This window comes from Homo sapiens, chromosome 6 (assembly GCF_000001405.40).
Source record: "Homo sapiens chromosome 6, GRCh38.p14 Primary Assembly".
NCBI classification, from domain to species: Eukaryota; Metazoa; Chordata; class Mammalia; order Primates; family Hominidae; genus Homo; species Homo sapiens.
Genome location: NC_000006.12, coordinates 147,238,095 through 147,262,407, shown reverse-complemented (window position 1 = coordinate 147,262,407; position 24,313 = coordinate 147,238,095). Strand labels below are relative to the sequence as shown.

General features: G+C 36.4%; 1 protein-coding gene across 14 annotated transcripts in view; it reads right to left on the bottom strand.

Moving 5' to 3' along the window:
• Positions 1-24,313, bottom strand: part of STXBP5 (syntaxin binding protein 5) — a 186,057-nt gene that overhangs the window by 128,066 nt on the left and 33,678 nt on the right. For all 14 annotated transcript variants that reach the window (XR_007059202.1, XR_007059201.1, XR_007059203.1 and 11 more), the window contains exons 4-6: positions 23,138-23,238; positions 1,659-1,793; positions 55-118 (exon numbers count right to left, since the gene is read on the bottom strand). Coding sequence is in view for 11 of the 14 variants with exons in the window: in XM_047418197.1 (XP_047274153.1) it covers positions 55-118; positions 1,659-1,793; positions 23,138-23,238 (300 nt within the window). In the remaining 3 variants the exon portion in view is untranslated. The remainder of the gene's footprint in view (positions 1-54; positions 119-1,658; positions 1,794-23,137; positions 23,239-24,313) is intronic.

Below are 24,313 nucleotides of genomic sequence, written 5' to 3'. Positions count from 1 at the left end.
GAAAAATACTAAAATTTGTGCATTTAATATATAATTTTTTACAAAAAATTCTACCTTTCCCTCGTCCATTGGATTATCACTTATATGGACCACAGGTCCTGGGTGAGATTTAGATGACCTAAAAAAGAAAAAGTTAGTAAGATTTTCTCTTCAGTTAAGAATTTTAATATGGCTACATATTTCATTCCAATAAAAATAAATAGAAAATAAGTTATATTTATAAAGAAAGAAAGGATTTCAGCAAGAGATAAATAATAGGCATATAGTTCTTAATATGGATCAAAATAGGGATCAGGGAAGAAGTGGTGACTCATATAACTAAGCAAAATTCACAATTAAGTACACTTTCTGCATAGGAAAGAATCTTCAATTTAGTCAAAGATTTGAGCACAGGAAATCTATTGTCAAGGTAGAATTCTCAAAATTACTATTTTTGAATAATGCAGCACCTATCTTATTTTACTGAATTCTAGCCTCCAATTTAGGCATCCCATTTAGTTTCAATAGAAATAGAAAAACATTCTATTAAAAAAAAAATAATGCCACCTATATCTGCTCAGAGAAAAAGAAGTTCTACAAATAAGAATATGGTTGAACTGATGCCTATAGAGTAAAAATAAGCATACCCCTAATTCAGAAACTCCCAAGTTTGACAGATCACTCCATTTCATGAGAGCCATCTGTGAAACTATACAGACACCTGCACTAGGCCTACCTAGTAGATGTCATGATCAATTCAAAGAACAGACCATGAAAACCCACCCTACCAAAGGACTGATATATGATAATATTCTTGCTACAAGAAGAAAAACCAGGATTAATACACTATTACAGCTATACTAACACATGACTTAAGAGATACGTCACAGAATTATCCTTATCTCAAAAAGAGGTAAATACCATGGAATGCAACAATACAACACTATTTGCTTAAAATCAAAAAGAAACATTCAAAAGGGTCTTGCTGATATCCTTAAACTTTGATTTTTATGTCCCAGAAATGTAAGAAAAAACTTGTAGAAAGAGATAAGATACAAAAAATTTAAGACAGAGTGAAGAGTTAGCACTAAAGATCCTTAGGGCCCTATAGTTTAACCTAGTTTTTGTTACTAATATTAGTAAATGAAAACAATCATTATTTATAAAATTTATCAAAAAGTAAAAATTTATCAAAATTAAGTAAAATCAAACAAAATTAATTTGATAATATATTAACTTTAGCAAACATTATATTTGATGATTATTAAAACATATCAAGTAGTAGTTTAAATCAGTGTTTTCCAAACATTGGTGGCAACTCATTTGTGGGTCATGACCATCATTTGAAAGAAAAATAATTAGAAGATAAGAGAACAGAAAAAATTAGATGATTTTCATTAGTAGGAATGACTGTTTCCTTAAACTAGTGTTACAGTGTACACAAATGTAAATATATACATATGTAATGTGCATATATCTCTATATACATATGCATAATTTAAATTTACAAATTGCCATGTCAAAATACTACTCATAAAAAACTAATAAATCTGTACTTAATATTAAGAACATCTGTCACATATTTAATTCCATACAGATTTACTGATTGGCTATGATGTAACGGTATTATTATATATAGAACTGATGCTTTCAGATACAAAATATTTGTTCAAACTCACAGTTCAATGGCTTTATTCCACATAATGACGTAGCCTGAGAGTGTGAAGGACTCCACATTGACAATATGTATATTACCTCGTTCAGTGCCCACATAGAGCCACTTACTCTGGAAAGGCAGATGGCAAAATGTAACCCTGCAAGAGAAAAATATACTCAAAAAAGAAATTTGAAAAATGGCAAATTTTACTAATTGCATTAGAGGGTTGATTATGATATATAATTCAGGAACAGCAAAACTGGTATATAATCATCAGATTTATCTATTCATTGTGACTAATATTTAATTATGCTAATTCAGCTTATACATCAAACATAAGGCCTTACAGCAAATAGATAGCATGGCACGATAGAAGATGAATTTTGAAGTTAGAATGTGTTTCAAATCTGGCTGTCCTCCACTAACTGCGTAACCTTGGGCATACCACACATTTACCCTTTAGGCCATAAGCTATGATTTCAACATCTACATCACCCCTGAGTACTACTGTGTTTCTCAGGCATTACTAAGCACATTAATCCATCTCAGTACCTGTGGTTACTACTCCTTCCAGGCAAAATGCACCTCCTTGATATTTTTCTTCTCTTCAAAGATTCAATTCAAATACCACTTGCATTTAAACTGATGTGATACTTTTGTATCTCTATCAGGCTTGCCTTATATGATTGTCAAGGTCCATCTTTCTCATTAACTTGTGGGCCTTTTGAAGGACTGAGATCACCTGTACTCAGTCTTAGACAATGTTTCTGAAATATATTTGAACTATTTCTTCCTATGTTCTGATGATATGGCAGGCCTTCATTAACAAATTACAATAATTTACATGCATTTGCTAAAATTCATCATTCTGACAACTGCAGACAGTTTTCATACTGGCTCATTTAATTTCAAGGCAAAGAATGAATACCGTCTTGTCCTGTTTTTTTCTCTTGTCCTTTTCATAGCACTTATTTTTAGTTAAAAAAAAAAGGTATCTTGTGAAAATCTATAATGCTTATTTTTTTTCCTACAGACCCCCCCATTTCGTCTCTCAGAAAAGACTTTATAATTTAAATAAATAGCACTTAAAATAACACAAATGATAATAATGACTGCCAGCCTGTCAATACTAACATTAGGCACTCGGCAAAGCATACAGAATATTTTGTATTTCCATTAACACACAATTTTATTACAGAGATTTTCAAGATGAAAACACTTATCAAATAAATACACACGCAACTCATTCTCATTCTTTCTTAGAGGTAATGTTCAGTTAGATAATTACTTAAGCTTCATCTACTTGTAATTTCTGTTGAGTGTTTTATATGATAATGGTCTCTTTCTAAAGAATTTATGTAAGTTTAACCAAGTATAGACATGTCTACTGTATAAACAAAATGATTTGATAGTACTTTGTTACTCACAAGGCTCACTTTCTCAATATTAGCTATCATCCTAAGATTTTTTTTCCTCAGTCAACTGTAAAACTAACTTACATGACTGAGATATTTTAAGCATCACTATGTTTTCCAGAAGTGAGAAGAACAAAATATTTAGTATTTAATACATTAACAAGAAACTTAAACATTCATTTAACTAGTTTAGCACCAACACTTTAATAAGGTCTCTAGAATGACTCATATATTTTTTTAAAAATATATAAATAATGGGAGTGTATTTGTACAAAGCACCACCAAACTTAAAAATTACTCTGCTCTATAACTACCATCATCATTTAAGTAAACTGAGAAGAGAGAAAAGTTTAATGCTTTTTAAATCACAATGAACTCAAGAATTTCTTAACTGGCAAATTGTCATGGCTCTGAACATGTAGGAACAGAAGAGTGAAAAAACTAAACTTCCAGTTGCAACCAAACAAAACAATACCATGCCAGTGATATTAAAATCCTTACCTTATGGAGGGTTTAAATGATAAAATAATTAAATAATATGAAAGATTTTATATAATACATTTAAAAATATATTGACTACTTAAAAGGAGTAATGTGTTAGAGCACTTAAAATTATGTGTTATGGGCTGGGCGCGGTGGCTCACGCCTGTAATCCCAGCACTTTGGGAGGCCAAGGCAGGCAGATCACGAGGTCAGGAGATCGAGACCATCCTGGCTAACACGGTGAAACCCCGTCTCTATTAAAAAATACAAAGATTAGCCAGGCGAGGTGGTGGGCACCTGTAGTTCCAGCTACTCAGGAGGCTGAGGCACGAGAATGGCGTGAACCTGGGAGGCGGAGCTTGCAGTGAGCCGAGATCCACTCACTGCACTCCAGCCTGGGTAACAGAGCAAGAATCCGTCTCAAAAAAACAAAAAACAAAAAACAAAAAACTATGTGTTATGCGTGTGCATGTTTGTACACAGAGAGAGACAGACAAGACAGAAGGTATCGTTATTTAATAATTTTAAGAAAGTAATCCACAAGAAATCTTTTTTTAAGGAAATGTTTGAGTCACATGCAATAGAAATCTAACATTTTTTAGTGAAAGTAGTCATGAAACAAATGGCACTGAACAGCTTTGAGACAAACAGATTTCAAACGTAGAAGATTTCAGATTACATTCCCCTCCCACACTGACTCTAGGATTGATCGTGTGGCTTGCATGCGCCAATGAATTATTAGCAGTTGTGCCACAGGCATAGTTTGAAAAGTACTTGCAAGGAAGAGGGGCTTGGTCTCTTTTTTAATGCTTTCAGAACCCAAGTGCCATGTGATGAAGCCCAGACTAGCCTGTTGGAGACCCTGGCCTGGCCCATAGCCAGAACCAACCACCAGACATACGAGTAAGGCAAGCTAGATCATCCAACCTAGTCGTGCAGCCAGATAACTACAGTTGTGTAAGTGACTTCAGGGGAAGGCACTCCTGCTGAGCCGACCCAGGTTGCCGACCCAACAGAACTATGAGCCAACAAAATGGCTGTTATTTTAGCCTCTAAGTTTGGGGTTGTTCTTCTATGCAGAAATAGAAAATTGACCTATTAGTAATAAAATAAACTCAACTAAAATAAAGCTATAAAAACATATAGGAAAATAAATTCTTATAGTTCTAGAGTTAACAAGACCCCAACAAAACTTTTCAGGAATGCAAACAGTGTATGTTTCATGAAGCTGAAATACTGCTGTGGATCAAAATCAACTCTTCACTTGTTTTTCTTAAAGATTATTTTTTAATTTTATGGTGATATAGATCATTAATGATAATAAATAACAATGACTCATATTTTTAAGTACATCTTTTACTAATATCAAGAGACCAAGTTAAGTTTTGTAGTGCTGGTGTCTATTAGTAGAACATAAAATTGTACTGAAAATAGTAACATTTAATAATATATATAGTTGAAACCCACCTAAGAAACACTAAAACTTAGGAAACACTAATAAGGTTATTTATTTTAATATTATAAGAACAGCATATTAAATTGAGACTGAAAAGTTACCTTAAAATGGATAAGCTGAACCAAGAGAAAAGAAAATGATTGAAACAATGTAACAGAAATACACAGATAATGAAGTTGAATCCCCTCAGTATGCCACTAAATACAAGTTGTATTTAGTGGCACACTGAGGGGATTCTTGTAGAATACAACTTGTATTCTAAATCCCTATACTGCACTTGACTTAAACATATCTTACAAATCATGTTACTGGGAACATGACAGTTCTGTATTTGCTTAAGGAATTTAAGATATCTATAATGTTAAGTACTAGGGAGTAACACATACATCCTATTTGCTATAATATTTAGCTGTGACAGCAGCCTGTCAAATATTATGTAGTCAAGCACAAAATTTGGAAGATTTTATTATTACCAATTTTCTTTGACAGAAGAATATGTACAGCTTCCTAAGTAATGTTGAAATTAACCATTAGATTAACCCAACATAATAGAAAATGTCATCACATTTATATTCTCAGCAAATATCATAATATCTTACACCTAATGAGTATTCAGTAAGTCTTTATTAAATGAGCAAGAAAACCATACAAAATATGGGAACCTATCATAGTAATTAATAAAACAATCAGACATTCCCAGCGTACTCCCTCTCCATCCTTACGGCCTGAGCCTAATTTAAACCATTATCATTGATCGTCAAATCCATTCTAAACTGCCACAAGAGTTATCTTTTCGAAGCCAAGAAAGTTCACATTATCTACTTGAAAGACTCTAATAGCTTCCTCCCTTCTACCATAATGCTTCTTAAACCATATTTAGTGAAACCATATTCAGTGACATTTTGTGGTACCTATATCTGGGAAAAAAGGGTAGAGATACACAGTGTGCAGGATTTGGTCACTTGGTACTCAGTACCAAAGTGCTGGGATTACAGGATTTGCACTTCCTCCTATATGCCCTTCTATACTGCAGATACTGGAAAACTAAAACATACTTCTTTCAGCTAAGGTTCTAGATGATATTACATTTCTACTAATTGGATGTGTTTGAAATGTGTAGGCAGAAGTGAGGCAGAGACTATCTTTCTGTTGCTATCTCTGCTGACAAGGATGTTTACAGAGATCTGAACAGTAGAAGACACTTATGGAGCAGCAGCAGTGGGGACCAAACACAGTGTTCCAAGTCTGCTCATGAGCTTCATGTGGTGAGAGGTGGTAATCATGAAAGCAGCCCTGTTTCCTATTCCCTGCATTGAAGCTATGGCAATACGTTCTAAAACTCAGTAAGTCTGTACCCTTCCAAACATTCTTTTAAACAGCTAGGTTCTTGTGTTAAATCCTCTTATGTGTAAAATATCTGCAGTGGTTTCTGTTCCTGCATTGAAATACAGCAAGGAAATAATCTGCAATTTGTATGATAGTCTACAGTCCAAAAAATACCTGCTTATCATGTATCTTAAGATGATGTTACTAGATTAATTATTTAAAGTTGAAAAAAGGTTGAGAATCTAACTTTCTTATAATTGTACAGAAGGCCTTTTCATGGCTGGGCACAGTGGCTCACACCTGTAATTCCAGCACTGTGGGAGGCCAAGGCTGGAGGATCACTTGAGCTTAGGAGTTCAAGATGAGCCCGGGGCAATATAGTGAGAACTTGTCTCTACAAGAAATGTATAGCCTGGTTTGGAGATTCATGCCTGTAGTCCCAGCTACTCAGGAGGCTGAGGCAGGAGGATTGCTTGAGCTGAGGCAGGAGGACTGCTTGAGCCTGGGAAATTGCTTGAGCAGTGAGCCATGACTGCACCAACCCTCCCTCCTTAAACAAAAAACAACAACAACAACAACAACAACAACAAAAAGGAACAAAGAAAGTCTTTCATGAAGTAGACCTTTCTTGCCTTATTTGTTCTTGACTACCCACCCAGCAATGTCTAACTACAGGTCCTTAAATATGGGAGATTGCTTCATGACTTTGTGACTCTGCACCCATCAAACCATCATCTACATTAGGTATTTTTCCTAATGCTATCCCTCCCCTAGCCTCTCACCCTCCGACACGCCTCAGCGTATCATGTTCACTTCTGTGTTCTCATTGTTCAGCTCCCACTTATGAGTGAGAAAATGTGGTGTTTGGTTTTCTGTTCCTGTGTTAGTTTGCTGAGAATGATGGTTTCCAGCTTCATCCATGTCCCTGCAAAGGACATGATCTCATCCTTTTTTACGGCTGCATGGTATTCCAGGTGTATATGTGCCACATTTTCTTTATCCAGTTTATCACTGATAGGCATTTGGGTTGGTTCCACGTCTTTACTATTGTGAATAGTACTGCAATAAACATACATGTGCATGTGTCTTTATAGTCGAATGATTTATAATCCTTTGGGTACATACCCAGTAATGGGATTGCTGGGTCAAATGGTATTTCTGGTTGTAGATCCTTGAGGAATCACCACACTGTCTTCCACAATGGTTGAACTAATTTACACTCCCACCAACAAAGTAAACGCATTCCTATTTCTCCACATCCTCTCCAGCATCTGTTGTTTCCTGACTTTTTAATGATCACCATTCTAACTGGTGTGAGATGATATCTCATTGTGGTTTTGATTTGCATTTCTCTAATGACCAGTGATGATGACCTTTTTTTCATACGTTTGTTGGCTGCATAAATGTCTTCATTTGAGAAGTGTCTGCATAAAGTGGCTGTGTAAATGTCTTCATTTGAGAAGTTTGCCCACTTTTTGATGGGGTTGTTTTTTTCTTGTAAATTTGTTTAAGTTCTTTGTAGATTCTGGATATTAGCCTTTTGCCAGATGGATAGATTGCAAAAATTTTCTCGCATTCTGTAGGCTGCCTGTTCACTCTGATGACAGTTTCTTTTGCTCTGCAGAAGCTCTTCAGTGTAATTAGATCCCATTTGTCAATTTTGGCTTTTGTTGCCATTGCTTTTGGTGTTATAGTCACGAAGTCTTTGCCCATTCCTATGTCCTGAATGGTTTTGAATAGGTTTTCTTTTATGGTTTTTATGGTTTTAGGTCTTACATTAAAATCTTTAATCCACCTTGAGTTAATTTCTGTACAAGGTGTAAGGAAGGGGTCCAGTTTCAGTTTTCTGCATATGGCTATCCAGTTTTCCCAACACCACTTATTAAATAGAGAATCCTTTCCCCATTGCTTGTTTTTGTCAGGTTTGTCAAAGATCAGATGATTGTAGATGTGTGGGTTGTTTCTGAGGCCTCTGTTCTGTTACATTGGTCTATGTATCTGTTTTGGTACCAGTACCATGCTATTTTGGTTCTATTCTAGCCTTGTAGAATAGTTTGAAGTCAGGTAGCGTGATGCCTCCAACTTTGTTCTTTTCGCTTAGGATTGTCTTGGCTATACGGGCTTTTTGGTTCCACATAAAATTTAAAGTTTTTTTTTCTAATTCTGTGAAGAAAGTCAATGGTAGCTCGATGGGGATAGCACTGAATCTATAAATTACTTTGGGCAGTATGGCCATTTTCACGATATTGATTCTTCCTATCCATCAGCATGGAATGTTTTCCATTTGTTTGTGTCCTCTCTTATTTCCTTGAGGAGTGGTTTGTAGTTCTCCTTGAAGAGGTCTTTCACATCCCTTGTAAGTTGTATTCCTAGGTATTTTATTCTCTTTGTAGCTATGGTGAATGGGAGTTCACTTATGATTTGGCTCTCTGTCTCTATTTGTCTAGGAATGCTTATGATTTTTGCACAATGATTTTGTATCCTGAAACTTTGCTGAAGTTGCTTATCAGCTTAAGGAGATTTTGGGCTGAGACGATGGGGTTTTCTAAATATAGAATCATGTCGTCTACAGAGACAATTTGACTTCCTGTCTTCCTGTTTGAATATCCTTTATTTCTTTCTCTTGCCTGACTGCCTCGGCCAGAACTTCCAATACTATGTTGGACAGGAGTGGGGAGAGAGGGCATCCTTGTCTTGTACCGGTTTTCAAAGGGAATGCTTCCAGCTTTTGCCCATTCGGTATGATGTTAGCTATGTGTTTCTCATAAATAGCCATTATTTTGAGATACGTTCCATCGACACCTAGTTTATTGAGAGTTTTTAGCATGAAGGGGTGTTGAATTTTGTTGAAGGCCTTCTCTGCATCTATTGAGATAATCGTGGTTTTTTTCATAGGTTCTGTTTATGTGATGGATTACTTTTATTGATTTGCGTATGTTGAATCGGCCTTGCATCCCAGGGATGAAGCCGATTTGATCATGGTGGATAAGCTTTTTGATGTGCTGCTGGATTCGGTTTGCCAGTATTTTATTGAGGATTTCTGCATCAATTTTCATCAGGCATGCTGTCTTGAAAACTTCTTTTTTTGTTGTGTCTCTGAAAGGTTGTGGTATCAGGGTGATGGCTGGCCTCATAAAATGAGTTAGAGAGGAGTCCCTCTTTTTCTATTGTTTGGAATAGTTGCAGAAGGAAAAGTACTAGCTTCTCTTTGTACCTCTGGTGGAATTCGGCTGTGAATCCGTTTGGTCCTGGGCTTTCTTTGGTTGGTAGGCTATTAATTACTGCCTCAATTTCAGAACTTGTTATTGGTGAATCTGACAATTGTGTGTCTTGGGGTTGCACTTCTCGAGGAGTATCTTCGTGGTGTTCTCTGAATTTCCTGAATTTGAATGTTGGCTTGTCTTGCTAGGTTGGGGAAGTTCTTCTGGCTAATATCCTGAAGAGTGTTTTTCCACTTGGTTCCATTCTCCCCATCACTTTTAGGTACACCAATCAAACATAGGTTTGGTCTTTTCATATAGTCCCACATTTCTTAGAGGCTTTGTTCATTCCTTGTCATTCTTTTTTCTCTAATCTTGTCGTCATGCTTTATTTAAGTTGATCTTCAATCCCTGATATCCTTTCTTCTGCTTGATCAATTTGGCTACTGATACTTGTGTATGCTTTATCAAGTTCTCAAGCTGTGCTTTTCAGCTCTATCAGGTCATTTATGTTCTTCGCTAAACTGGTTATTCTAGTTAGCAATTCCTCTAACCTTTTTTCAAGGTTCTTAGCTTCCTTGCATTGGGTTAGAACACACTCCTTTAGCTCTGAGAAGTTTGTTATTACCCACCTTCTGAAACCTACTTCTGTCAATTCGTCAAACTCATTCTCTGTCCAGTTTTGTTCCCTTGCTGGCAAGGAGTTGTGATCCTTTGGAGGAGAAGAGACATTTTGGTTTTTGAATTTTCAGCCTTTTTGTGCTGGTTTTTCCTTATCTTTGTTGATTTATCTACCTTTGGTCTTTGATGTTGGTAATCTTAAGATGGTGTTTCTGTGTGGATGCCCTTTTTGTTGATGTTGATGCTATTCCTTTCTGTTTGTTAGTTTTCCTTCTAACAGTCAGGCTGCAGGTCTGCTGGAGTTTGCTGGAGGTCCACTCCAGACCCTGTTTGCCTGGGTATCACCAGCAGAGGCTGAAGAACAGCAAATATTGCTGCCTGTTCCTTCCTCTGGATGCTTCATCCCAGAAGGGGCACCCACCAGCCGAAGCTCTCCTGTATGAGGTGTCTGTCGACCCCTGCTGCGAGGTGTCTCCCAGTAAGGATACATGGGGGTCAGGGATCCACTTGAGGAAGCAGTCTGTCCCTTAGCAGAACTTGAGCACTGTGCTGGGAGATCTGCTGCTCTCTTCAGAGCCGGCAGGCAGGAACGTTTAAGTCTGCTGAAGCTGCGCCCACAGCTGCCCCTTTCTCCAAGTGCTCTGTCGCAGGGAGATGGGAGTTTCATCTATAAGCCACTGACTGGGGCTGCAGCCTTTCTTTCAGAGATGCCCTGCCCAGAGAGGAGAAATCTAGAGAGGCAGTCTGGCTGGGCTCTGTCGGGGTGGGATCTGCTGAGCTACACCACTTGGCTCCCTGGCTTCAGCCCCCTTTCCAGGGGAGTGAACGGTTCTGTCTTGCTGGCATTCCAGGTGCCACTGCGATATGAAAAAAAACTCCTGTAGCTAGCTCGGTATCTGCCCAAACGGCCGGCCAGTTTTGTGCTGGAAACCCAGGAGGGCCCTGTTGGCGTAGGCACCCAAAGGAATCTCCTGATCTGTGGGTTGTGAAGACTGTGGGAAAAGCGTAGTATCTGGGCTGAAATGCACCGTCCCTCGTGGCACCATACCTCATGGCTTCCCGTGGCTAGGGGAGGGAGTTTCCCGACCCTTTCCGCTTCCGGGTGAGGCAACGCCACACCCTGCTTCGGCTCACTCTCTGTGGACTGCACCCACTGTCTAACCAATCCCAATGAGATGAGCTGGGTACCTCCGTTGGAAATGCAGAAATCACCTCCCTTCTGTGTTGATCTTGCTGGGAGCTGCAGATTGGAGCTGTTTCTATTCTATTCGGCCTTCTTTTTTTTTTTTTTTTTTTTTTTTGGAGACAAGGTTTCACTCTTGTTGCCCATGCTGGAGTGCAGTGATGTGATCTCAGCTTGCTGCAACCTCCGCCTCCCAGGTTCAAGCGATTCTCCTAAAGCATTTATTCTTAAGCAAATAAATGAATTTTGATCTTAAACACAAGAAGTTAAAAATAAAGTAGGGAGAAGAACAGATATAAAAATTGATATTAATAAATTAGATATCAATAAAACAGCAGAACTGTCATGATACATCCAACAATAGGATACAATTTTTCTATTAATTTCTTTGTCCTAGAGTAACCAAAGAAAAAAATTATCTGCTCCCAAACACACCCAGCATGCAGAGGTGGGATGGATATAGGTTACTGGTTACTGTTCTACCTTGGTATCCATGGGGGATTGGTTCCAGGAGCCCCATGAATACCAAAATCCAAAGATATTCAAGTCCCTCATATAAAATGGTATAATATTTGCATATAACCTACACAAATCTTCCCATATACTTTAAATCATTTCTAGATTACTTACAATGCCAATACAATGTAAGTGCAATGCAAATATACTATTTTTTTTTGTATTTTTCCCCAAATATTTTCAAGCCATAGTTGGTTGAGTCCAGGGATACACAACCTACAGATATGAAAGGCTGACTGTATAGAAATTCCCATTGAAATTGAGAGAAAGTGGAAGGTAAAAAGGAGTTTATTAGTCCATAACAGTCTTGAAATTCGTTGTGGCAAATGGTGGATTTTTCTTAGGATTCAAGACCAGGGACTAATTCTCTGTGGGTCTAAGCTCTACTCTCTTAATCATTGTTCCTTTTTCATGTAAGTTACCACTTATTTGCAGCTGAGTTCTTTTATCAGCCTGCTTCTGGCTACAGCTTCCTTTTATTTTGTACTCTCTCTGTCCTTTTCAGTCCAAGCTGGCAATGTTCTACTGATGCAATTTTCTCAAGAAACTTGCAGGTCTTAAATAAATTGTATTGGGTTTTACTCCTTTAGACAAAAGTCACACTCACAAATCTTTTTTCAGAGAACCCTTTCTCCATTTTGGCTCCTGCTGAAATGCCTGTGGGATGATACTTTTAAAAACTTTCTAGATGCTCTGGTTTCTTGAAAAGATCTGTGGGGTACACTGTTAATCTCTTAAAAAGGGCCCTCTGTGTGACTGAATGCTCTGACCTTTTGATCTTTAACGGGTTTTTAGTAAAAAATTATACAGCTGCACTCTCACATTTTTCTCTGTGCCACACTTTTAGAAACAATCTCTCTCTTTTGCCAGCTGCATCACAGTAGGAATTCCCCAAATTGTCAAGTCCTGGTTCCTTTAAAACTTCTTCACTCAATTTCTCTCTCCTCTTGCATTTTATTATAAAGCAGCAAGAAGAATCGGCTCGCACCCTCAACACTTTCCTTGGAAATCTCTTCAGCTAAATATCCAAGTTAATCACTTACCTATTGTGTAGGGGACAATTCTGCTAAGCATTCTGTTCTCCCACTATACAACAAGGAACCACTTTCTCCAGCCTCTCCCTAGCAAGAGACTTAAGTACTGAGTCCTACAAACAGCTTGTTTTGGGCAGTATGTGCTTTTCTATCATACTCCTCGAAATTCTTCCAGGTTCTACTCACTGCGAAGTTCCAAAGTGACTTCCACATATTCAGATATTTGTTACAGTAGTATTCCACTTTCAGGTACCAAACTAATACCAGGTGTATTTTTTTTTTTTACTGATTTTGTAACAAGGTATCACAAATTTAATGGCTTAAAAGAATACCCATTTATTATTTCTGTAGGTTAGAGGTGCAGTCACTTAATAGGGTCTCTGCTCAAGGACTTACAGGCTAAAATCCACATTTCAGCCATGCTGCATTCCTGCCTCCCTTTCTGGAAGTGCTGGGAAAGAATCTGCTCCCAAGCTCATTCAGGTTGCTAGCTGAATTCAGCATCTGTGGCTGTAGGTCTGAATCCCTGTCTCCCTGCTGTCTGTCAGGGGGTATGCTCCTAGAGGCCACTGGTATTCCTACATGGCCCCCTCCATCTTCGAAGCCAGCAAGAAACAATCTCCTGTCCACTGGATCCTTCTCACACTCTGAGCCTTTTGACAGGAAAAATCCAGTCTCTTAAGTGCTCACCTGCTTGTTAGGCCTACTGAGGATCATCTTCGTATTTTAAGGTCAACTAATTTGGGAACTGAAATACATCTGGCAAAATGTCTTCACCAAGCTAAGTGTTTGATTAATTAACAAGAAATAGCTATGTGTACATCAAAGGGTAGATACCTTGGGGCCCATCTTAGACTTCTGCCTACCACAGGTACCTGTTTAGGAATAAAATTGCTGGGTCATGGAGGATGTGAATACTGCCCAAGAAACTTCCGAAATGACTGCAACACTTAAAATTCACATCAGTAAGTTATGAGAAGCTCCAGCTGCATCACAATCTAACTAACATTTTAGCCATTCTGATGAGTAGTTGTTGTTTTAGTCTGCATTTTCCTGATGACTGACTTTTGTCTTCTTTAAAAAAAAACTCAATTATTTCATCATATGTTTTCATATAAACCTCTAAAATCACATTCACTCATATTGTAATATACATTTGCATCTCTACTTTAATGTAAGCTATTCATGCATTAATAAAAAGCTCATTCTGTTTATCAGTTCATTGGCAGAGCTAAGTAGTTTTTTTTTTTTTTTTTTGAGATGGAGTCTCACTTTGCCGCCCAGTTTGGAGCGCAGTGGTGTGATCTCACCTCACTGCAACCTCTGCTTCCTGGGTTCAAGCAATTCTCCCTGCCTCAGGCTCCCGAGTAGCTGGGAATACAGGTGCCCACTTCCACGCCTGGCTAATTTTTGTATTTTTAGTAGAGACAGGGTTTCGCCATGTTGGCCAGGCTCGTCTTGAACTCCTGACCTCAGGTGATCTGCCCACCTTGGCCTCCCAAATTGCTGGGATTACAGGCTTAAGCCACCCCACCGCACCCAGCTGAGCTAAGTACTCTTCTTATATTCGCCTTTGGTTATATACCTCCTCCTTCCATATAATCTTTTAATGTCTTTTTATATAATCTTTTTATACCTTTAACACATTGTAAGGCCCTTTTGGAACTAGAACAGTCTCTTTAAATATATTTCCCCTATTCCTTGACAGAAGAAATTCCTGTCAGGAAGTTGTAAAAGAGTGTTTTGCTGAGTACCAGCCCCTAAAAATCTATATAAGTGTAACAAAGATTTTAAATTAACTAACTGCACACGTTAAACAAGGACAAAATTAATCACAATATTGAAACAAAAGATGCAGAATTGTAGGAGAAATTCTGACAAGGAAAAGGGTAGAGGTATTCAAAGAGACTCCTTACTATGGATAATTTTATTCTAGGAGGTGATCCAATACTGCCTGAACATCCTTTCTTTAACAGTTTCAAGTTTATCAAATCATAACTGTCTTTCCTCTGAATATTAAGAGAATTTTTCTTTTATTTTAAAATTGTGCTTGAATATGTGATACTCTATACCTACAATTTCCAAGATGACTCATCATTTCCATATCACCAACCAGTTGTCTTTGTAGATCAGAATTAGGTCCAGAGTAGCAGATCCCCCATCTTCCCAACAGGATTGGGCATCATTTCATGCCTATGTTCTAGTCCTTAATTTCATCCCATCACATCACTCTCATTTCTAATGCCTGTACACTTTTCATTAAGCTGTTTTCAAAGAAACGAATTTTGATAATGTTATGCGATTAGCAGAGAAACTATAATTCTGTGTCTTTGTTTCAATACTGTGATTAATTTTTTCCTTGTTCAACATGTGCAATTAGTTAATTCAAAATCTTAAGACCTGTATAGATATTTTGGGGTCTGGTACTCAGCCAAACACTCTTTTATAACTGTCTAAGGTTATGTCTTACTAATATATGCACTAATGTGCATACTAAGCAAATTACAAGCTTTATAAATATGCAAAGCACAGTACTGTAATAAAATAATAAGAGTATAATGTAATAAATGAGTTTTCGTTTCTATATACATTTACTTACGATACTGGGAAAATCTGATGCTAGGGTGTCAACTCATTGCTACAGTACATTATAAGCACCAAATCTCCCCTCGCTGTGCTGGAATCTGAACAGATTAACTTCATTTGTCATACGGTTGTTTTTTTCCATGAGAGGACTGTGAACATGAATTCTCCCTTGATATTTAAGTTATAAAGTCTTGATTATTAATGTATTTCATATAATAATTTTCCTTCCCTTTCATTACTTTAGAATGAAAGCACACTTATGTTATTCTCTAAACAATGATGCATCTATCATCAAATAATAAAAGTCATATAGAAACTGTAAATCAGACTATTAGAATAAAGAAAAAACATACGTCTTTAGAAATATATTAACTTTAATATCAAGATTCAGCTTTTCTGGTGTTTAATGTACTTACAGGGGAAAATATTCTATAAAATTTCATTAAGGGAAATTTTCTTAACCCCTGAGAATAATTATTTATGTGAAAAGGTTTTACAAACAATAAAGCATTATATAAATCAAGAGGTAAAAATATTAAACAATAACATTAGGTCCTAAAAAAGTCCACATATAATTCAGTTTTCAGTCTTAAAAAGCTTCACATATCATTAGTTATAAACTTATGCAAAAACTTAACATGATTGAGAATACTGGTCATACTATACTAACTCATGGTGATGAAAAAAGACTAGAAGAGAGTTGTAGCTGCTGATCAACCCACGACTTGCTCCTATTTAAACTTCTTTAAAGGAAAAAACAAGGTATTAAGCTAAATGGAACATATTCTGATACTGCAACTTATCTGTCTTACTTATCAAATTCTCAGTTTCTATGGGAGCAAAGAACATCTCTTTTGCATGTATAAACCTAATGGCACATATTAACAAGGCTCACCAATATCAAGGAAGAGGAACAAAGGTGATATGTGTTTCCTAGAGCTGCCAAAACAAATCACCACAGCATGGGTGGCTTAAAACAACAGGAATTGATTCTCTCACAGTTCTGGAGGCCAGAAGTCTGAGATGAAGGTGTCAGCAGGGCGCTGCCCTCTCTGATGGCTCTAGGGGAGAATCTGTTGCATGCCTCTCCCCTAGTTGCTGGTATCGGCAGCTATCCTTTGCATTCCTTGGCTTATAGCTGCATCACTCAGTTTCTACCTCCTTCATCACATGGTATTGTCTGAGTTTCTGTGTCTGTGTATCTTCAACTCTTCTTATGTGGACACCAGATTAGTCTCCACCTTAATAATCTCATATTAACTTGACTACATCTGCCAAGACTCCATTTCTAACTAAGGTCACATTCATAGGTACCAGGGGTTAGGACTTTAAGATTATCTTTTCTGGGAAAACAATTCAATCTGTAACAGAGGACAGGTAAGTAAAGTACACACCCCTAGTATTCTACTATGACATACTGTTGCTACCAATTCCTTTCAGGCTACAGAAGATTGAGATGCTGTAGCTACTACTATCGGCAAATTTGTCCCTGTGATAAAAATTATACAGCAGACAAATCCCTGAGCTGAGTCTGGCAATTGGCATAATAAGCTACATGCTAATTAAGGAGGATATTTAAAATTGTATGTTTTTCCTCAACTTTCAAAGTATATTTACTTTTTCTTTTGTTTGCTGATTTAAAAAAATTCCATCTTGCATCCTGGTTGGTTTTAGCCTACTTTTGTTTTACAGCTGAATTGTGTGCTGCCCTCCTCAATTATATGGTGAAGTCCTAACCCCCCAGTACCCAAGAATGTGACAGTATTTGGAGACAGTGCCTTCAATTCAAAGAAAAATTAGCCGGGCTTGGTGGTGGGCACCTGTAATCCCAGCTACTCGTGAGGCTCAGAAGAATCGCTTGAACCCAGGAGGCAGAGATTGCAGTGAGCCAAGATCACGCCACTGAACTCCAGCCTGGGCAACAGACCAAGATTCCCTCTAAAAAAAAAAAAAAAAAAAAAAAAGCAGCTCAGCAAACCTCAAGCAGTATAAATATGAAGAAAATAATAGCTAGGCATATCAATGCCAAAGTGCTAAAAACCAAAGATAAAGTGATAATTTTGAAAGCAGCCAGAGAAATAGGACTCATTTCACACAGGGGAGTAAAAATTCAAACAACCACTAATTTCTCATAGAAACAAAAAAGGAGGGCAGAAAATCGTGGAATAACAACTTCAAAGTGTTGAAGGAAAACCACTGGTAGGTCATAAAACTCATAATCAGAAAGTCCACTACAAATGCTTCAAATTAATTACAAACTGTCATTTCATGTAATTTCAAAATCACCAAAAACTGTATTTCACTGATTCTAAATGCTATTGACGCTAGGGCATGCCATTATTTTTATTTAGTATTAACAAAATTCACAAAACATTTTCAATTAATTATAAGACACCATTCATTAATAAAAACATTGCAATTTCGGAGACGTAAAAATGTTAAAAGTACAAAATAAGTAAATGCTACAGTCAATAGTCCTCTTTCAAAAAGCCAAATCAAAATCCTAGCAAGCTATTGTGTGGATATTGACAAACTGATTCTAAAGTTTATATGAAAAGGCATAAAACCCGTAATAGCCAACATAATACTGAACAAGAAGACCAAAGTCGGAGGGCTGACACTACCCATCTTCAACTTGCTACAAAACTACAGTAATCAAGTCAATCAGTCATCCCTCCATATCTGTGAGGGATTGGTTACAGAAACCCCTCTGATACCAAAATCCAATAATGCTCAAGTCCCTTATATAAAACTGTATCGTATTTGCATATAGCCTATGCACATCCTATGCACATTAAATAATCTCTTGATTACTTCTAATACTTAATACAATTTAAATGCTAAGTAAATGATTGCTATCTTGTATTTTTATTTTTATTATCTTTTTATTTTTCCCCCAAATATTTTCAGTCTGCTGATGGTTGAATCCAGATGTGGATCCCATAGATACAAAAAGCTGATTGTATTAGAAAAATAACAGACAAATAGATTAATTGATCTATCTTAAACAGAATAGACAACCAGAAATAGATCTACTTAAATACAGTAAATTGCTCCCTGATAAAGGAGCAAATACAATTCAATGGGAAACAGATAATCTTTTCAACAAATGGTTCTGGAACAACTGGACAATCATAAGCAAAAAAAAGAATTAAAAAAAGAAAAAAAACTCTAGACATAGAACTTATATATATTTCAAAAAATTTAAATCAACATGGATCACAGATCTAAATGTAAAATGCAAAACTCTAAAACTTCTACAACATAACACAGGAGGCAATCTAGGTAGTGATCTTGAGTTTGGTGATGGATGTTTTAGATATAAACCCCAAAAGTGTAATCTCTGAAAGAAAAATTAATAAGCTAAACTTAATTAAATAGGAAATATCTGCTCTACAAAGACACTGTGCAGAGAATAAAAATAAAAGTCACAGACTAGGACAAAATATTTGTAAAATACCTATCTGATAAAGGTACCCAAAACATACAAAGAATTATTAAAATTTATCAGTAAGAAACAAACAGCCCAACTTAAAAATGGGCAAAAAATCTGGACAACTCATCAAAGCAGCACATGAAACAAAGAAGAATATGAAAAGATAACCCATATCATGTGTCACTAGGGAACCGCAAATTAAAATAACAATGAGGTAACACTACACAGGTATTAAAATGGCTAACGTCCATTAACTGGCAATACCAAATGTTAGTAAGGATATGGAGCAAAAGGACCTCTTATTCAATGCTAGTGGGAATGCAAAATAGTATAGCCATTAAGGAAGACAGCTTGGCAGTTTTCACAAAGCCAAAGATAGTCTAGCATATGATCCAGCAATAGCACTCCCAGGTATCCAACTGTGTTGAAAATGTACATCCACAAAAAAACTGCATGTGAATATTTATAACAGCTTTATTCATAATGGCCAAAAAAAGCAAAAACCAAGATATCCTTCAATAGGTGAATGGAAATACAAACTGTTACATTTGTAAAAGAAATTTACTGATAAAAAGAAATGACTTAGCAAGCCAGAAGACTAGTAACATTAAATGCATATTGCTCAGTGAAAGAAGTCTAAAAAAGCTACATGCTATATGTATGATTCCAATGACAGTCATGTGTCACTTACAGATGGCTATGTTCTAAGAAGCCCATCAGCAGGTGAGTTCAACATTGTGTGAACATCATAGAGCATACTTACACGAACCTAGATGGTATAGCCTACTACACACCTAGGCTGTATAGTACAGCCTATTGCTCCTAAGCTACAAACCTGGAAAGCATGTTACTGCGTATTACATATTGAATACTGTAGGCAACTGTAACACAAAGGTTAAGTATCTGTGTATCTAAACATAAAAAGGTACAGTAAAAATGTAGTATAAAAGATTAAAAAATAGTACACCTATAGAGGGCAGTTATCATGAACGGAGCTTGCAGGAATGGAAGTTGCTCTGGGTGAGTCTGTCAGTGGTAAGTGACTGTGAAGACCTAGGACATTACTGTACCCTAGTGTAGACTTTATAAACACTGGACTCTTAGTCCAGGCTAAATTTATTTTTAAAAATTTCTTTCTTCAATAATAAATTAACCTTAGCTTACTGTAAACTTTACGTCATAAACATTTTAAATGTTTTCACTTTTTGACTCTTTTATAATAACCCTTCACTTACAAACACAATGTAAAACTATATAATTTTTTCTTTATATCCTTATTCCATAAGCTTTTTTATATGTTTAATTTATTTTTACTTTTACTTTTTAAACTTTTTTTTTTTTTTTAAAACTAAGACACAGTCACACACATTAGCCTAGGCCTACACAGGATCAGGATCATCAATCTCACTGTCTTCCACCTCTAGATCTTGTCCCACTAGAAGGTCTTCAGGGACAGTAACACACACTGAGTGATCATCTCCTATGATAACAATGCCTTCTGGAATATTTCCTGAAGGACCTGCCTGAGGCTGTTTTTCTTAAATAAGTAGAAGGAATAAACTCTAAAATAATAAAATGTGTATTCTAATAAATATATGACAGTAACAGTCATTTGTTATCATTATCAAATATTATGTACTGTACACAATTATATGTGCTATACTTTTAGACAACTGGTAGCACAATAGGTTAGTTTATACTAGTATTACTACAAACATGTGAATAATGTATTGCACTAAGATGCTATGATGTTATGACAGCTATAACATCCCTAATCTATAAGATGCTATGATGTTATGACAGCTATAACATCCCTAATCTATAAGATGCTATGATGTTATGACAGCTATAACATCTCTAATCTATAAGATGCTATGATGTTATGACAGCTATAACATCCCTAATCTATAGGAGTATTTCAGCTCCATTATAATCTTTTGGGACCACCATCATATATACAATTGTCACTGAGTGTAACATCGTTATGCAACACATGGCTATATATATGACATTTTGGAAAAAGCAAAAACTACAGAGACAGGAAACAGATCAGTGGCTGACAGGGGTATGGATAAACAGGTGACACATATTGGTTTTTCGGTCAGTGAAACTATTCCACATGATACTGTAATGGTAGATACATGACATTACGCATTTGTCAAAATACATAGAATTGTTCAACACAAATAGTGAACCTTATTATGTTATGAACATTAGTTAACAACAATGTATCAATTTTCGTTCATTAACTGTAACAAACTTACCACACTAATGCATGTTAATATCAGAGAACACCATGAATGGGGAGATTGAGTTGGAATGAGGGTGGTATATGAGGTATATGGAAATTCTCTGTAGTATCTGCTCAATTATTCTATAAATCTAAAATTGTTCTAAAAATAAAGTCTGTTAATTTAAAAACTGTGCAAGTTAAAATCAAAGAAATGTGATATGGTTCCCTGTTTTGGGTATCATAATACAGTAAGAGTTAGAAATAGAGAGACAGACCTAAGACTACAACTACAAACTTCAAGATATCCCATTTTCTGTTTAACAATCAAATACTTACTAAGTACCTACTATGTCAAAAAAGTCACCAGTTACCTCATCATGACTTAGCTGTGATTATACCTATCTTTCCTTACATCTCCCAACTCTCTAGTCTCTATGCTTGCTTTTTACTCTTTGCCTTATTCCAAGTTTCGTTTCTCCCAAACCACGTTTCTCACTAATTCCATGAAATGTCATGAGAATCAAGTAAGACAATCTAAGATAAAACCCTAGAGCTCACAGGTTTCCTTCCTCTACTTTAAGTTCACACTTCTTACCTCTACTGTTATTACAGTTGTTATAACTATACTGTTCTCACATTCTCTTCTTCCACCTTTATTGTCAACAGGTTTTAACCAAAATTTTAGACATTAAAAACTAAAACTTGACTGGAAAAAAGTAGCCACTTGAGAAAACAAATCAACTTTTCCTTAGAAATTAAAATAAAAGAATCAAGTACTTCCATTTTGGTATTCCTATAAGATTCAAAATTTTAAAAATTTCCTCAAAATATATATTAAAAAAGATTGTGCTTTTAATGCTAACTACATAAATATTATATACATACATATATACAACTACACATGTATACAAGATAAACAATATATGTCTCTCAAAACTATTGAGGGAAGGGACTATATCCTTACTCATATTTCGTGCCAAAATAAGTTCCATATAAATCAAAGATTAAGTATAAAAAATAAAACTTTAAGAGTACTACAAAGGCCAGGCTTGGTGGCTCATGCCTGTAATCCCAGCTCTTTGGGAGGCTGAGGCGGGCAGATCACTTGAGGTCAGGAGTTCGAGACCAGCCTGGCCAACATGGCGAAACCCCGTCTCTACTAAAAATACAAAAATTAGCCAGGTGTTGTGGTGCATGCTATAGTCCCAGATACTCAGGAGGCTGAGGCATGAGAATCACTTGAACCTGGGGGGCAGAGGTTGCAGTGAGCCCAGATCATGCCACTGCACTCCAGCCTGGGCGACAGAGCAAGACCAGGTCTCAGAAAAAAAAAAAAAAGAGTACCACAAAAACATATAGGGGATGATGATTAATCAAATTGGGGTGAAAAAGTTTTTCCAATCAAAGCCCCAAATTCACAAGTCATATTAGAAGAGATTTCTATGACCAAGCTAACCTACTTCTACAAATTTATCTTATGGATATACTTGTATATGTAGACAAAGACATATGTAACATAACATCACAACAGAGTAAAATGAACAGCAGACTGAAAATGATTATGTGTCCACTGATGAGGAATGGCTGAATAAATTATGGCACTTATATAGAACAGAATATTATGTAGTTATGAAAATGATTCAGGAAGATTTAAATGTGCTGATATGAGACAATCTATGGGATATGTTAAGTAAATACAAGTTACAGGAAGAATATGTAATAGCTTCCCTTTTATGCAAAAAAAAGCAGGGGAGCTATACAGAGATTTTTTCTTTTATACATACACTGTAAATCCTTCCAGAAGGACACAAAAGAAATTTATGTGGTTGCTGAAGAAAGTAAGATGGATCTAAAAAAGAAGGAATCTTGCTTTTATTGTATATCCTTTGAAGCTTCTGAATCAGTTTTTAGATTGTGCATAAGGTCCATCACACACAAAAAATCAAAGACTGAAATTCAAGAAAATATAATAGTAAATATCCTATACATAAGATAACTGGGAGAATTCTTACCTTTCTCTGCAAAATTTAAGCGAATGTAGTATGGCAGGCCTCTTCTGACGTAAATTCCATAAGTGTAAGGTGTCATCAGCCAAGGCACTCACAAGCGCTCCCTTAAAAATCAAGTATAACACATTTCATGTATAATATATTTTATAAACATGAAGTCTACTCAATAGCTGCCAGAAATATCTCCTTCCCAAATTTCAAAACTTTCTGCCAACAGATTTAGATCTAAGAAACATTTGCCTCATTCAAATTCAAAACAGCAGATGTAAAAAGTGTACGTGTATTACATGCATGTAAATACGTTAACTTCTTCAATACTTTAAAGTATAATTTAGTATCTCATAAGCCAAAACTATACTAGGATCTAGTGGATTAGTATGGTTAAGATCTAGTTATTTAAAATTAGAGGTCAGACTGTAAGTTACTTTGTAACTATTGTACATACTTCCTTGATTAGCAGAGCAAAACATGGTATGAAGTAACCTCCACATTTCATTTGGCTTAAGACAAATTCTTATGGAAGTACTATACCCAGATCATAATTCTACTACTAGAATGGTACGGAAAATAAACATAGCATTTGGCACACTGTAACCTCCATGTCTGAAGGTTTGAAATCTGACTAATTTAGAATGTTAAAATGTCTGATACAACTAAATATTATTATTTATAGGGAAGAAAAGGCCTGGCAGTATTTGAGAATCATTTAAGTGGCTCGTTCTCACCCAAACCCAACAAATCAGAATTTCCAGAGTGCTATGGTTTAGACGTGGTTTGCAATGCCAAAACGCATCATGTTGAAATTTAATTGCCAGTGAAGTGGTGTTGAGAGGTGGTGAACCATCCCTCATTTGGGTCATAAAAGATCTGCCTCTGTGAAGGGTTTAATGCAGTCTCCAGGGAGGGAGGGAGTTCTTTCCCTCACAGGATGGATTAGTTCTTATGCTAGTGAGTTGTTATAAAGTGAGGCTGACCTCTTTGCTCTCCTGGCATGCACCAGCTTCCCTTTCTGCTTCTCTACCATGTTATGAGGCAGCATGAGACCCTCACCAGAAGTCAGCCAGATGCAGCTGCTCAGTCTTAGACTTCCCAGCCTCCAGAATCAAAAGTTAAATAAATTTCTTTCTTTATAAATTACCCAGACTCAGGTATTCAGTTGTAGCAACAGAAAATGGCCAA